Source organism: Homo sapiens, chromosome 2 (genome assembly GCF_000001405.40).
Source record: "Homo sapiens chromosome 2, GRCh38.p14 Primary Assembly".
Lineage (NCBI taxonomy): Eukaryota > Metazoa > Chordata > Mammalia > Primates > Hominidae > Homo > Homo sapiens.
In genome coordinates, this window is record NC_000002.12 from 12,985,260 (window position 1) to 13,002,916 (window position 17,657).

Sequence of the window (17,657 nt, forward strand, 5' to 3'; positions counted from 1 at the left end):
CTTCAATTAAACCCTGACCAATGCAATATAAGATAATACTTCATACTACATCTAAATCCGCTTCTTTTAATGTCTTCCTTGCCTTGCTAAATGGTACCACCAAACACAGACATCCAGCCATACAGCTGGGATATTAACTTTCAAGAATCAAACCTGACTCCACCTTCCCTATGAAAACCTTTCCTTATTGATCTCGAGAAAGGATGTGACCATTCCTTGTGTGTGTGTGTGTGTGTGTGTGTGCCAGACTTGTATCACAGTGTTATAATTTTACTAATTTGTTCTCGTGTTCCTTTTTCCATTTTACTATAATGGAGTAGATGTATTAAATGTATTTATTAAATTCCTAAATTTATTAAAATATTAAGGCTCAAGGACATATTGTTTTTATAACCTGGGTTCATAGGACCCCTGAAGATCACTGTATATTTTTGTGCATACAATGTGTTTTTTTCTCAGAAGAAATAGTCCATACATTTCGCTGACTGTAGTTTGGTTGAACAAATAAAACAAATTTTAAGCATAAAAATGTAATTAATGCCGGGGTAATAGCAAGTCACATACTTCGAAGTTACCACAAAGAGGATACATTGACATGGAAAGGTTCTGATCACACAGATGTCCCTCATTACAGCATTGTTCATGGACTTGTTAAACATTTGTTTCCTGACACAGAAACTGAGCTGCGTGACGGCAAAGAGTGAGATACCCAGTTTCTTCTGAGTATCTGGCACAAGGTGTGGCAAATACTAAATGGTTTTGAAGGAATAAATGAACACATTCTCTGAAATACCACATGCATTCATCAATCAAGGTTTTCTTGAGAGTAATTACAAAATTTGAATTAAAAAACATCAATGTAATGCAAGTATACTTGTGGTGGGCAGCTTTAGAGATAGTTTTCAATAATCCCAACTTTCTACTGTTCACACTCTTGAGTGTGCACTGAACATCATGAGGAGAATAACTTGCTTTTAATGGCAAAGTGATGAAGTGTCACTTTTATGGTTAGGTTATAAAAGATCGTGCTTTTCTGGTGTCCTCCCTGGCTTCTCCCACATGCTGGTTGTGATAGGGAGGATGACATGACAAGGAACTGAGGGAAGCTTCTGTCCAATAGCCAGCAGGGAACTGAGGCCCTCAGGCTTATAGTCCTGAAGGAACCAAATCCTGCTAACAGCCACGGGGTGAGCTTGGAAGCAGGTCCTACCCCAAGTGAACCTTGAGATGACTGTGGGCCTGGCTGAGTCCTTGATTGCAGCCTTGTAAAGGAACCCAAAGCAGAGGACCTAGCTAAACCATTTCCAGATTTCTGACTTGCAGAGTCTATGCGATAATGTTTATTTTTTAAGCCACTGAACTTGGGAGTAATTTCTCCACTAGGTAACTAACACAGTGTTTCTATATTTTGCGCATAATTAAAAAATACAAATAAGAAAAAGAATATACAGGCAAATACTATTGCCATGATAGATTCTGTTTTTGCTCTGACATGCTAATCATACCATATAGATCCAGTGTTTGTGGAAGTGCATGTAATAGAAGCATGGCATAGTGGAAAGAATTGATTTTTTTTAGAATGAGTCTGTTTGACTTTTGGCAAATTTCCACATGAGTTCCTATGCCTATTCTGTCTTTCACAGCTCTAAGAATTGTGGGGGAACATGATGATAATTTTTGCATCCTAGATTTATTAAAATATTAAAGCTCAAGGAAATATTGTTTTTATAACCTGGGGTCATAGGACCCCTGAAAATCATTGCATATTTTTGTGCGTATGATGTGCTTTCCCTCTGAACAAATAGTTCATACATTTCACTAAATACTCAAGGTATATTTTAAAATATTGATTTATTCTAATCCTTTTATTTTATATGGAAAAACCAATTCTTAAGGAGAAACCATTTATATCCTACTATACAGCTAGTTAGTATCAGATATAAGGAAAGGTAAGTCTTCAAATTAGTTACTGCTCCTGCCATTTCCTTATGTTTTTGGTTTGCATGTTTTTTACACTCTCTCAACTTGTAAAGGTTAGAAGGCACACACAATATCATTAATGTTATCTAATTAATCTGGTAAATAATTTTTCATTCAACCACATGTTTATTGGATTCCTGTTATGTACCAGACACAATTCTAGGTGCTGAGAATACAACAGGAAACAAAACTCATTTCCTGTCCATGTATAGCTTAAATTACAGTGAGGGTAACTGTATTAGTTCATTTTCACACTGCTATAAAGAACTTCCCAAGACTGGGTAATTTATAAAGGAAAGAGGTTTAGTTGACTCACATTTCAGCATGACTGAGGAGGCCTAAGGAAACTTACAATCATGGTGGAAGGTGAAGGGGAAGAAAGGCACCTTCTTCACAAGGTGGCAGGAAGAAGTGCCGAGCAAAGAGGAAAGAGCCCCTTATAGAACCATCAGATATCATGAGAAGAAATATCACGAGAACAGCAAGGGGGAAACCACTCCCATGATTCAATTACTCCACCTGGTCTCTCCCTTGACATGTAGGAATTATGGGGACTGTGAAGATTGTAATTCAAAATGAGATTTGGGTGGGGACACAAAGTCTAACCCTATCATTAACAGAAACAGAAAAATTCATAAGCAAACAGATAATTTAACTTTAGATGATACTTTGTCATTTGTGTCATCTTAAATGTGGCTGCTCTTCTTCATGGGATAAGGGTTACCTTTTATTTCTCTGACTCTTGAAAAAAAGGAAAAGGCTTTATACCAGAAAGGCTCCCTGAAATCATGCTGTTCCTTTATTTACAGTGGAAATGCCCAGTGTCCACAGTGCCCTAAAGAGAGCAGAGAAATTAGCTTTGATAGGAAATGACATTTGGAATATGAGATTTAATCCAACAGAATACAATTATCTCTTTGAACAGTGACCAATAAAAATCAATTCCATTGTGATAATATTTTTATTTGCTCTATTTTAGGGTTGTCCTTAATCACTTGCTCAGACAAAAACAAGTCTCCTGAAAAACTAAAGATTCAAATGGGTAGGTATGGCCTTCTGAAAATTACCAAGAAAATAAAATTTTACAAGCTATCTACACCACTAAGGACGAATTACATCTGTTAATACCTGTTTAAAAATAGACTGTTTGAAACTGACTTTCTTTTTACGAAATAGTCATTGAAAGTCAAGAGAGATATAGTTTTACCAGGTAAGATTTTGAAATAAAAATGGTGACACATGAAAAATGGATTAAGGAGTTTAAAGAGTTTATGTGGCAAAAATGCAAATATTTAAATTTAAGAAAATTAAGATGAGGAGAAGACATTGTGATCAAGTAGTGTAGGAAATAAGAAATTAAGTCTATAGCTGGATACTAGATTTAAAACAATGTTAAATAAATACAAACCTCACTAATTTGTCTATGATATTAAAAAAAGGAATTATCTTTAATTTCAGTAGAAATAACATACCAATATGAATTACAGATAGTCTAATAAGATAAAAGGAAGAAATCTGATACACAGTGCTGGAGTAATTCCCTATTATATGGCATGGAATAAAGTAATAAATTATCACAGACAACACATTTTTTATCCCAAAATTCAGTTTCCAGTACTTGAAAAGACGTGGAGACAATATCCTTTAATAGGCAGAAGATGATAATAATGGCTTGGAAAAAAGAAAATATAATACAGGAGGCTGCAGAGAAGTCATGAATAAAACCCTCATGGGGAGTATCATAATCAAGTTGAACACAACTGGAAATTCAGATACAAAAGAAAATCTTTATAGTACTTTTTTATGTATATTCCTTATCATTGTGCCTTCTAAGTCCATCAAAAGAAATTTCAAATCTCTCTCATATTTGTGCTGTAAGAGCTAAAAATTCAAATTGATGAAGGTATATTACGTTGGTAACTTAAATGTCATAAGCAGCATCTCCATGAGTGATATGATACTCCAAAATAGTCAATAACTTCATGAGTATCCAGTGACAACTAAATAAAAATTTTTTCTAATACACATAGTTTAGTTTCTGAAAAATAGAATGTGTATTATAATTTTACAAAACACATTTTGTATTTATATCTAAAAAATGAATTAGGTCCTAGGCTATATACTTATAAATACATATTTCACTTACATTACTGCCTACCAGGATATCTTTGATATTTGACCTTTGTTCACTAAGTGAAATCCAAAAGCTCTCCTTTTCTCATTGTTTCAGGAAAATTTGTTATTTCAAGAAAATAATCAGAATCAGAATTTTAATAATTACCTTTTCAATAATAGTCTTTAGTACTGCATAAATAAAAATAAGTAAGATTGTTATTCCTAACTCCTTAAAATAATACAGAATTTTGCTTTTTTTTTTAAGACGGAGTCTCGCTCTGTCACCCAGGTGCAGTGGCGCGATCTCGGCTCACTGCAAGCTCTGCCTCTCAGGTTCACGCCATTCTCCTGCCTCAGCCTCCCGAGTAGCTGGGACTACAGGCGCCCACCACCACGCCCGGCTAATTTTTTTTGTATTCTTAGTAGAGACGGGGTTTCCCCGTGTTAGCCAGGATGGTCTCGACCTCCTGACCTCGTGATCAGCCCGCCTTGGCCTCTCAAATTGTTGGGATTGATTACAGGCATGAGCCACCACGCCCGGCCAGAATTTTGCTTTTTTTAAGTAAACTTTAGGAATAAAACTAATAACCACACTGATGATTTATTACAGAAATAGATACAGTTTATAAACATTATTTTACTTAAAAATTATTATTATTATTATTTAGAGACAAGGTCTCTCTCTGTTATCCAGGCTGGAGTGCAGGGCTGTGTTCATTGCTCACTGCAGCCTTAGACTTGGGCTCAAGACAGTCTACTTCCTCAGCCTTGTCAGTAGCTAGGAATATAAGCACATGTCACCATGTTCTGCTAATGTGTTTATTTTTTTGTAGAGATGAGGTCTCACTATGTTGCCCAGGCTGCTCTCAAACTCCTGGCCTCAAGTGATCCTCTTGCCTTGGCCTCCCAAAGTGCAGGATTATAGGCACAAACCACTGTATGTGGCCATGACTTTTTTTAATTGACAAATAAAAATTATTGAATATATTTATGGTGCATAACATGATGTTTTGAAATATGTATACATTGTAGAATGTCTAATTCAACCTGATTAACTTGGTATACTTGCATTATCTCCCATACTTATCATTTTTGTGTGTTGAGAACACTTAAAATCTACTCTCAGCAGTTCTCAAGTATACAATAAATTAACTATAGTTACCATGTTGAACTTTTCCCTCCTAACTGGAACTTTATAATACTCATGAGCCTGGTTTTTTGTTTCTCTTCCCTTTGTTGCAATGTCACACTTGCTTTTGGTTAGAGGATACAAATGTCTTCTCCTCATCATTGTGACAAGGGGAATTAAAAAAAAAATTCAGAAAACACTCCATTTATTATTATTTTTTAATCCTCTAGGGGGCAGAAATAATCAAAGGAGAAGTGCTGCTCAGCAGAATCACATCGAATGAAATCATAATTCTCATGGCTTCTATTAACATGTAAATAAATAATTCTTAAATCTAGAGCTCCAGCTCACATTATATTGCTGGACTTGTGACTCATAAATCTTATTAAATACAGGTATGTGTTATTTCATTTCACTCCACCTTATTGCAATTCACAGATATTGTGTGTTTTACAGATTTAAGGTTTGTGGCAACCCTGTGTTGAGTAAGTCTATTGGAATCATTTTTCAAAGAGCATGTGCTCACTGTATGTCCTCTTTGTACATTTGGATAATTCCCTCAATATTTCAGATTTTATTATTATTAATATCTCCTGTGATCTGTAATAAATGATCTTTGATATTACTATTATAATTGTTTTTGGGCACCAGGAAGCATGTCCATATAAAATATCAAATATAATTAATAAACATTGTATGTGTTCTGACTGCTCCATTGACCAGCTGTTTCCCATCTCTCTCCCTCTCCTCTGGCCTCCCTATTCCCTGAGACACAACAATATTGATATTAGGCCAATTAATAAGCCTGCAATGGCCTTTAAATGTTTAAGTGAAAGGAAGAGCCAAAAATCTCTCACTTTAAATCAAAAGCTAGAAATGATTAAGCTTGGTGAGGTAGGCATGTTAAATGCTGAAATAAGTCAAAAGCTAGGCCTCTTGTGCCAAACCATTAGCCAAGTTGTGAATGCATAGGAAAAGTTTTTGAAGGAAAATAAAAGTGTTACCTACACAAATGAAAAGAAAGCCAAAAAGGCTGTTGCCTTATTGCTGATAGGACAAACATTTTAGTGGTCTGGATGGAATATCAAAGCAGCCACAACATTCCCTTAAGTCAAAGCCTAATCCACAGCAAGACCTTAGTTATTTTCAATTCCATGAAGGCTGAGAGAGGTGAAGCAGCTGCAGAAGACAAGTTAGAAGCTAGCAGAAGTTGGTTCATGATGTTTAAGGAAAGAAATCATCTTCATAACATAAGAGTGCAAGGTGAAGTAGCAAGTGCTAATGTAGAAGCTGCAGCAAGTTATCCAGAAGATCTAGCTAAGATCATTGATGAAGGTGGCTACACTAAACAACAGATTGTCGGTGTAGACGAAACAGCCTTCTGTTGTATAAATATGCCATCTAGGACTTTCATAGCTAGAGAGGAAATGTCAGTGCCTGGCTTCAGAGTCCCAAAGGACAGGCTGACTCTCTTGTTAGTAGCTAATGTAGCTGATGACTTTAAGTTGAAGGCAGTGCTCATTTACCATACAAAAATTTCTACTGCCCTTAAGAATTATGCTAACTCTCTTCTGCCTGTGCTCTATAAATAGAACAACAAAGTCTGGATGACAGCACATTTGTTTACAACATGATTTGCTCAATATTTTAAGACCACTGTTGAGACCTATTACTAAAAAAATTTCAAAAATATTCCTGCTCATTTACAAAGCACCCAGTCACCCAAGAACTCTGATGGAGATGGATAAGGAGACGAATATTGTTTTCATGCCTGTTAACACAACATCCATTCTGTAGCCCATAGATTAACAAGACATTTCAACTTTCAAGTCTTATTATTTAGGAAATATATTCATAGTGCTTTAGCTCCAATAGATAGTGTTTTCTGTAAAGAATATGGGAAAAGTAAATTGAAAACCTTCTGGAAAGGATTCACCATTCTAGAAGCCATTAGGAACATTTGTGATTAACGGGGATGACGGGGGTCAAAATATCAATATTAACAGGAGTTCGGAAGAAGTTTATTTCAAACCTCATGGATGACTTTGAGGTGTTCAAGTTTTCACTGGAGGAAGTCACTGCAGATGTATAAATAGCAAGAAAACTAGAATTTGAAGTGGAGCCTGAAGATTTCACTGAATTGCTGCAATTTCCTGAGGAAACATAAATAGATGAAGGAGTTTCTTTTTATAGATGAGCAAAGAAAGTGGTTTCTTGAGGTAAAATCTACTCCTGGTGAAGATGCTGTGAAAATTATGAAATGACAAAAAAGGATTTATAATATTACATAAACTTAGTGGGTCCAGCAATGGCAGGTTTAGAGAGGCTTTATTCTACTTTTGAAAGAAATTTTACCATGGATACAATGACGTTAGACAAAACTGCATATTACATAGAAATCTTTCATGAAAAGAAGAGTCAATTGATGCAGCAAACTTCACTGTTTTATTTTAAGCATTTGCCACAGCCGCCCTGACCTTCAACAACCATCATCCTAAAAAGTCAGCAGCCATTAACATCAAGGCAAGACCCTCCACCAGCAACAAGACTACCACTGTCTGAAAGCTCAGATGATTGCAGGCATTTTTAGCAATAAAGTATTTTTAAATTAAGATATGTGAATTATTTTCAGACATAATGCTATTGCACACAGAAGAGTACAGTATAGCATAAACATAAATTCTATATATATGGGGAAACCAAAACAGAAATTTCTGTGACTTGCTTGATTGCAATCATCACTTTATATAGTAATCTTGGCCCAAATCCACAATTTTGAGGTATGCCTATATATGTCTATTTATTTCTAATCTATCTATTTATAAGTTCAATTAGGACCTCATATTCATTGTCTCAAACAAAACATTTTCTTCAGTTTGGCTAAAGTTTTGAGTGACCTGCTTCTCCTCTTTTGTTTCATACTTCAAAAAATGCCATCACCTTCCACCCAGTTCCCCAAACCAGCTCCCAAGAAATTTTATTTGATTTAACCCTCTTTCTTGTTTTAATTTTCCTTAACTTTGTTGAGGTATAATTGACAAATAAAAAGTGTACCTGTTTAAGGTGTACAATGTGATGTTTTGATATATGTATACATCGTGAAATAATCACCACAATCAAGCTAATTAGCATAACCAGAATCTCACACAGTTACATTTTGGTGATGAGAACACTTAGGATTTACCCACATAGGAAGTTTCAAGTGTACAATACGATATTGTTAGCTATAGTCACCATGCTGTAAGCAGAGTAGATGTCCATTTCTTGCTCTTTACATTTGATCAAGTCACTCAGTTTTATCAGTGTCATTTGAATGTACATTAACTAAATCTCTATCAAAACACCTCATTTCCCCCATTCACTTTTCCACTATTAAAGTTCAGGCTATTATTATTAATTCAAACCTTGGTCACTTTTAAAACCTCCAAGGTTATCACCATTCCTTCAGTTTTGTCCCTGCTGTCCCCACACAAACTGATTTTTTTCTTGTGGCCAGAATAATACTTTTTCTAAACACAAATGTACTGTTTAACTGTACCCCTCTTTTTTAGTAAAACATTGGTATCCAAATGCCTTTCAGATCAATTATATAACATGTACTCTATTCAGAGCTCTTGCACACACTGGTTGTTACCTTTCTATATGCATGCTCCTCATTTTTATTCCATTTTTTCCATGTTTCAACCAACCTGAACTTCTTTCAGTTCATCAGTTATGGCATGGTGTCTCAGTTCGAGTTTATCCAAAAGCAGACCTTGAGACAAGGGTTTACTTACATGTTGTCTTGGTCCATCCAGTTTCTTAAAACAAATTACCATGAACTGTTTAGCTTATAACCAACTGAACTTTACTTGTCACAGTTCTGGGAGCTGGGAAGTCCAACATCAATACACCAGCAGATTTGTTGTCTGGTGATGGCCCATTTTATGGTAAAAAAAAATACAGCAACTTCTCACTGTGTCCTCACATGGTAGATAGAATGGACAAGGGAGCTATCTGAAGCCTCTTTTATAAGGGCATTAATCTCACTTAAGGGGACTGATTATTTGCCCAAATCTTCACCTTCTAATACCATGACCTTGGGGTTTGAGGTTTCAGTATATAAATTTTGGGGGACAAAAACATTCAGACTATCACACATACATTTTAATAGGGAGTTGATGTCAGAAATCACCAGTGAGGTAATAGGAAAATAAGACAAAGAAGGAAAGCAGTCAGTAATGGATGGATTAGTGAACATGCTACCGCTGTTGGTTTTGAAAGCTTAACCTAACTGTGGAGCTCTGGGGTCCAGTGTAGAACACATGCATTTGAGTTGTCCAGTCTCAGAGGCAAGAGAGCCAGGATATCCATACACTAAATCCTGGGAGGGGGATTAGTTTCTTGGTATTTCCAGCCATTTGCACACAGGCGGAACAGATTCCAGCAACCAGAGATAGTCTCCAGGCAGAAAGATACAGGCTTAGATGCTTGAAAAAGTGTTTCAGGCTGTGGCAATTATAAGGACTTAGGGGATATTGATGGAGGATTCACATAGTCAGCTACGTAACATTTTCATGCCTCTGTGTCTTCCTAAGGCTATCCCATTTGCTTGGGTGCTATCTTGCCCGTGCCTTCGATACCCAACTAATTTCTTCTCATTCTTCCTTTGTTAGTTTGAACATAAATTATTCTTTATGCTTTCTTTGGCCTCCCAAATCTGTGCTAGTCACCTCTTCTGGTGACTAGCACAGATTTGGAAAAAAAAGGTATATACCCTTTTTTCCACTATCTTAGTTAGAATTTATTACACCAACAGGTTAGTGAAGAGAATGTGATAAGTAGATACACATAAAAATATTGTCATAGAGTTATTGGAAGTAGATGGGTTGTTCATGATTAGAAATATCCAAGAAAGCTCACTGGGAGGCACAATATTTAAATTGATCCTTGGGAATAAAAAGAAATAAACTTTTAACAAAGACACTGAGGTAGTTCAGGCTTATTGGTGAAATGGTAGACATAACAGTATGACTGGGATACAGATGTCATAACAAAATGTAGAGGGAGACCCAGTTCCTAATACCAGCATGATAATGTGAGCCTACAAGCCATGTCAGATTTGGGCCATGTAAATATTTGATGAGAGAAATTGATAAGTACAACAGCAAAACAATGACAAAGTCACATACATGCATACACAGCAAAGATACTATGTATCTTAATTGTCCTAAACATGCTAAGGAAATTGTAGGTGCAGAATTGACCTTTTTAGTTTATATGACTGCTTATTATTCTTCATCAGGCAAACTGTTGTGGTGTCCAAAGACTTAAAAGTGAAATGACTTTAAAGAGCAAAAAGGTTTTGTTCTATACAAATGCATTGCAAATCACTTATTGTAGATCTATATTAGCTCAACTGTTTTAGGCTTTCAGGAATCATAAAACATTAACACATAAAGATCTTATGGTCTCTGATTTATAAAATATATTTCATCATATACTTCTACACTGAATGTTTAATTATATTTATTATGAAAAGATATGACTTTTTTGTGTAATTAAAATCATTGTATGTGTATAGTAGAAATGTAATTATAACAATTATATTACATAAAGAGAAATATTATAAAAAAGAGACAATTAGGTATTTTGCTCAAACAAATTAAATTTCACAACTATATGTGATACATAATTACCAGTTACTCTTAAAAGCTTTTACTGACAGTGTGTGTCTCAAAATAGAATGCAGCCTAAAACTCTAGCCTAGATTGAAGTGTGGTTGTTTTAAGACTTAGAGAGGAAAGAACCAATAATAATGTTGACCTCTTGCCATGTAGTAGAATTAAGTAGAACACATGTGAGTCTCAGGATGTACCTCAGAGCTGAGAGAAATACAGGTTCATAAACACATGTGGGAAAGAAGTACTTCAGCAGAAGGCTGGATGGTGTCTGGGCAGTCAGGTGGATTCAGAGGATGGCTGGGCTTCCCTGGAAATTATCAGCATTTTCTTTGTAAGGGAGCTTGAAATTCTGGGTTTTATACTTAAGCTTACTGAGAAATAAGTTCCTGAAGATACATATTCAGAAAAAAATCAAGGAAGTAAAACTCACCTTCTACATTTGCTTTACTTTTAATGTAGAACCTGCAGATTATTATTGGATTCTTTTATTATTATTTTATTTGTTTATAATATTTGGTCTTAGATTATTAATTGATTTACTTTTATGAATTTATTTATAATAGTCTTGATTTTTCCAAGAAATATATAAAACAACTTAAATTATTAAGGCATATGAAAATTGGAAATAAGCAAGTTGTAGAAAGGGAAATTCAGAGGAAATTTAGCCAAAATAACTTCTCTAGAAGATCAGAAGTTGTTACTACAACCAAAGAGCGCTTTTAATCTTTGTACCCAGGAAGCTAAATCAGAAAAAGAACATTCAAAGCTGTGTGATCTTCAGCAATTTAGTCAAAGTCTTTAAGAACCATTTTTTTAAGTATGAAAATGGAGTTAATAAAACATCCGTACCATATCTGGTAGTTGTGAGGATAAAATGAGAGAATGTGTGAGTCTTGGCACGTTACATGGGAAATGCCAAAAGCTCAAATATTAGCCTATGTCTTCCTCCTTCTACTCTTTTTCCTTCCCTACTTCTTCTTGCTAATCCTCCTCTGCCTCTTTTTAGCCCATCTTCTTTTCCCTCTTCCCAACTTATTTTATTATTAAGAAAATTTAGTTTTCCTTGGGAGGCCGAGGTGGGTGGATCACGTGGTCAAGAGATTGAGACCATCCTGGCCAACATGGTGAAACCCCCCATCTCTACTAAAAATACAAAAATTAGCTGGGGGTGGTGGCACACACCTGTAGTCCCAGCTACTGGGGAGATTGAGGCAGGAGAATCACTTGAACTCAGGAAGTGGAGGTTGCAGTGAGCTGAGATCGTGCCACTGCACTCCAGCCTGGCGACAGAGCAAGACTCCATCTCAAAAATAATAATAATAATAATAATTATTATTATTATTATTTTCCAGCAAGAAATGAAAAGAAAAAATATTCATTGAGGAAATATTTTAAATCAATTACTATCTAGACACTAGAGATACACCAATAGTAAGTTATCTATTTTTATGGAGTTTATATTCTTCCTTACAACAAAAGTCATAATATTGTTTACAAAGGCTTTGTGAGGAATACATAAGTTAATGGATGTGCAGGGAACAGCACAATACCTGACTGTTGTTATCATTATTAATAACATAGACCTTATCATTATTATCAATATTACACTAGCATTAGTAATTGTAATAATAATAGTTGTAGTTATAGTTGAAGTGATCGCAGTTGTCATTATATTCATTGTAATAGTCATTGTCATCATTGTAGTGGTCTTTCTAATTTCAATGACACGAATATTATACCAGTGTACATTTCAGGAATGACTAAAGAGTTAATTGTAGACAAACTATTTCACACAACTCGGATAATGCTTAGACAGTAACTAACTCTAATGGAAAATTCCAAGTACTAAGCCACTGCCATATGATACTCTAGAGTTTTTACAAGTGGGCAACATTCGTGATCTAAATTCTGAAGACTTCCAACAAGAAGGACATATTGGTCACCAGAATGTGCGTGTGTGTTTGTGTGCATGCATGTGTGTGTGCATGTGTGTGTGTTTCATTGACTTTGTATAACCAAGGAAAAGGCAGCTTCCTTTACTCCTTGAAAACAGTGATAAGAAGTTGTTCTATGGGTGTTATTCCAATAACAGCTTATTTCTGATTATAATTATTTCTCTCTTTTACTGATGGCAAATTTATTTCCCACATAATGTTGATTCTCAATTTCCTTTTGTACATGATTCCCCCAAATTTAGCTGAGACTGGTTTCTTTGGAAATATTAGTGTCACCAGTTCCCCATGCTCTGTCAAAATGAAACAAAAACAAATTAAAATGACTACTGAACAAATATTCAATGTACTATATATGATATATATGTTATATATCCATTCCCATGATCCAAATGCCTCCCACCAGGCCCCACCTCCAGCACTGGGGATTATAATTCAACTTAAGATTTGGGTGGGGACAAATATTCAAACTATGTCAACCTCTGTTCCAGATTTTCTTCAAGGCAATTCTATGTCCTTATAAACACAAAGTCCTTTCTTAGACATAATTCTCATTTCTTTGCTTTTCGACCTCTTCCTATTCTTCTTCCAAACTTAATGGTGGCCACCTCAATGCTATCTGAAATGAGAGTTGGGAAGGCCATTGTGTGCATTAAAGGCTGCCCCCGATTGGAGTTATTTAGTTCAACTGCAAAGACTTACTGGACTCCAGTCACTAAAAATCTCTTTCAATCTTATGTGTTGCTATTTGGAGTCTGGTAGCAGCCTGCATTTTCAATGCTGTAGGACTCTGGACCTTTGGATTTTTTCCAGTTGTCTTGGATATCTACTTAAAAGTCAGGCAATACTTGCCTGAGCTCCCCTTTTTTTGTAATACTGTGCCAAATACAGTCAATAGAATTTGACAGTCACTGTGACTTTTTCCAACTACTTTCCCTGAGAGTTACAGAAATCAAGTAGTCTAAATTAAAGCAATTACTTACCAATGTTTGTCATAGAAAAACAAATATTTCCAGTCTTCTTGCCTAATATATATATATATGTGTGTGTGTATGTGTGTGTATATATATACACATACATACATATATATATATACACATACATACATACATATCTATACACATACATACATATATATATATCTGAGGCAGCCTTTAAACATATAAATAAATATATACGTGTATATATATGTTTGGCCAGAAGACTGCAGATATATATATATATACACACGCACACAATTGCCACCCACAAACCAATCACTAAGCCAAGGCCAAGGTGTCTATCTGTATAATAGTTGAGGGTAACATATGCTGCTGAAACAAATAAACCCCCAAACCTCAGTAGCTTAACATGATCAGTTTATTTTTCAGCCACCTAAAGTCCAATAAGTGATGGCTTTCTAATAGTAAACTAAAGACCTACCTAAGTATCTATTATTTATGTTTTCTACCATTCCCCAGCATAATAAAGTCCTATGAATCAGCCTGTGGGCAAAGGAGAGAGACAGGGGGTCTGTTTGTAGAAAGCTTTTATAACGCAGGCCTACAGGTTGTCCACATTACTTTTATCTACATTTTCATTGGTTAAATAAGTTACATGTGGTCATATGTAATTTCAAGGGAGGCTGGGAAATATCAAGTAGTGGCTTTTGGAACAAGAGGAAACATGTTTGTGGGACACCTAGGTGACCTCTGCCACATTTGTCAAAAAACAAACTAAAATGCTTAGTCTATTGAAGAAAAATAATTAGAACTTTTCAGTAAGTCTTTTAGTCTGACACAGCTCATTATTCTCCTCTGTGCCTGTCTAATCTCTCCTCTTAGAAAGGAACATACTGGATGAAATTCAGCTGGGAAACTTTGGGGCCCTGCCTGTCATGGTGGTGAGGAAATTCATGCAAAGGCTGAAGACTGCAGGACTCAGGGTGTTTTAGAACTATTACAAGAATTTTTTAAAATTAAAATTGGCTGGGTGAAGTGGTTCACACCTTTAATCGCAGCACTTTGGGAGGCCGAGGCGGGCAGATCACGAGATCCAGAGTTGGAGGCCAACCTGGCCCCAACATAGTAAAACCCTGTCTTTACTAAAAATACAAAAAAAAAAAAAAAATTAGCCAGGCACGGCGGCAGGTGCCTGTAATCCCAGCTACTCAGGAGGCTGAGGCGAGAGAATTGCTTGAACCTGGGAAGTGGAGATCTCACCACTGCACTCCAGCCAGAAGCCAGAGCTGGAGCTTTTAAAAAAAAAAAAAAAAAAGAAAAGAAAATCATGTTGCTTACCCTATTGAGAGATTAATCAAAAGTGGCTGGAAAGAGATATAAAAATAAATTTCAAAAGTCAGATTCTGAAGATATTTAAGATCAAAACAAGATGGTTAGGATGGAAGGAAAAGCAACGCTGGAAAGAGTGGCTGAGATATTTCCATGAAGTGAAAGTGTGTTTTCCTCAGAATTCTCTAGTTTCTGCTGGGGGTAGGATAAGAGTTAATGAGAGCTCTGAGATGACCAGGATAACACCAACAGAAAGTGACAGAGTTTTTCTGCTCTCTTTATAAACATGAAATAAATCCTCAAAATCTAAAAGGAGAAAACGTCCTCAAGTACTAACATTGCTTTTGCTGTCACATTTGTCCTGGCTTTGCAGAGGTTAAAAAGATTATTGCATAGCAGCTTCCAAGCATGGAAAAAGGAGGTAATCAAATTGGACCACAGCCCAGGGAAACTGTGAGGTCTTACTGAGCACTGCGTGCCAGTGGAAAGAAGCATTTTGAAAGGTAAACTGGTGGGGGCGATGGGGTTCAGATATTCTCTGAGACCGGGAACGTCACTGCTCTCCCCGGGAAGCTGCTTTAGGCACAGTGCTCCTGCCTGACTCGGGAAGACTGCTCTCCTGGCCTCCTGGAAGTCATATGGGAAACAGGTACGCCTCCTCATGTTGCATCTTTATTCTAAGCTCACCAGCCATCCGTATAAGATTTCAGAAATCCAGGCAGACCAGAGTCACTCCCTGAACATGGGCCATGAAACAGCATAAGGAGTGGAAAGAGACTGTGATGGGAATCAGAGGACCTTAACTGAAGTTCATGACAATCAGGTCTGGCCAGTGGCCAGTCGCTTGACCATACTGAGCTTCAGCTGTTCTGTCACTGAAATGGTTACAGGGGATTCCTCAATAGCAGGGATAGTGTTCTATCCCATGTGTCTTCATGCACAGTGTAAGTGCTTCGTAAAAGTCGATAGAATAAACAAAAAGAAAACAAAGCAAGTACATGACCATATACAACACATTTTCATCGATGCTTAAATTACAATGAAATTATTTATAAAAACTTTTAATAAAATTATGACATTCACATTCTTACTATAAGTCAGTAACTGATTAAACTTGTTTCTGAACAAGGCAGATTCCATGGAGGAAATATCTGTCTACTCGACTACTTATTCTTATGTAAGCCTTGTCTTCCTGTAGAATTACTTAAATCAGACTCACCAGCTCTAGCTGTGTGGCAGGAAACAGGTGCAAGCACTCTGAGTTGGATTCAGATCATCTAGGAATTGGAGCTTCTAGCTGAAGAGTAAATCTGTGTGCATGCTCTTGACACATCCTTCCCCATCTGACAAGTTTTCCTGTCTTCTTCGGTGAGCTTTGAGACAGACAACCAGTGATGGAGGAAGAGGAAGTGTGACAGGTTCCACCTCCCCTTATAATCTATAGCATATCAGGTTCACAGCCATATCACCCAACAACCTGTATAACTAAAATAACACATAGGCTCTGCTCCCAAATATTGGTGAGATAAATATACACACATGAATAAAAATATATATTAATTAGTAAAGAAATGCCAGGCAAAAGACAATGATGGCCTACAAATGTTTGGGACAAAATGTATGTGCTGTGTGTTTGGAGGCAGAGGAGAGTAGAAGACTGGGTTGTCAATAAATGCTTCTGAGATGCTTCAGACTTACTACAGGTATCGACTGATGCTTTGTGTTGGGAAAAATAATACTTGAAAATAATTCTGGGGGCCTTGAGCAGGTGAAAAAGCATAAATGAATGTATAGCACATGCAGGGTGTGGTTGGTCACCAGGTGAGAAATTACATAAGGAGAAGAGTTGTTGATGAGAAAGAGCAGATCAGGTGGGATCAGAATGTCATGTTTTTGTCAGTAATAGGTAGATAGTGATTGATGGCTTTTCAGCAGAGACATAGTATGATCACATTAATGTTTTAGAAAAATACTTTCAGTTACAGTGCTAGGAAAAGGATTGCACAGAGAAAGAATAGAAGTAGGAAATGAATATAGTTGTGGTATGTAACCTACCTAAGCTCTGGAATTTATTCTTGGACCAAAACATCCTTGGGATCCAAATGGCCAGGTCAAGAAACATGGTTAAAACATCCTTGTTCATGTTATGAAACAGCTGCTCAGCAATCCCAATGATGGACCAGAGTCATTGCTGGAAGGAGCCTCAGTGGTGATGTTTAGGAAATTTCTTTGCAAACGGTCTGTTTAGCAGTGACAAGGGGCATGATACCGTGAACAAGGATGGCTGTTTGCGAAGTTGTCTAAAAAGGTGACTTTCAGGGTCTGGGAAAAGTTCCTCTAACTCCGGAGTGAATCAGCTGGGTCATATGGTCATCTGCCAGACCACGCTGGTCTACTGTTGACACAGACAGGTGCACTCAGAGCTGACTAGAATATATGTGTTTTGCTGTAGTCCTTTGGTGGGTATATAAACACAGCTTGTGCCTGCCTCTTCCTTTGCTATTTCTCATACATGGTTTTGGCTCCAGGTATCTTTTGAATGAATAAA

General features: G+C 36.5%; 2 long non-coding RNA genes across 4 annotated transcripts in view; one reads left to right on the forward strand and one right to left on the reverse strand.

The window, feature by feature from the left end:
* Positions 1–17,657, reverse strand: part of LOC100506474 (uncharacterized) — a 40,232-nt gene that overhangs the window by 18,478 nt on the left and 4,097 nt on the right. The window contains exons 3-4 of the long non-coding RNA NR_038434.1: positions 17,165–17,349; positions 16,329–16,482 (exon numbers count right to left, since the gene is read on the reverse strand). This is a non-coding gene — a long non-coding RNA (uncharacterized LOC100506474). The remainder of the gene's footprint in view (positions 1–16,328; positions 16,483–17,164; positions 17,350–17,657) is intronic.
* LOC105373436 (uncharacterized) overlaps positions 15,530–17,657 on the forward strand; it is a 330,895-nt gene continuing 328,767 nt past the window's right edge. For all 3 annotated transcript variants that reach the window (XR_001739293.2, XR_001739292.2, XR_001739291.2), the window contains exon 1: positions 15,530–15,758. This is a non-coding gene — a long non-coding RNA (uncharacterized LOC105373436). The remainder of the gene's footprint in view (positions 15,759–17,657) is intronic.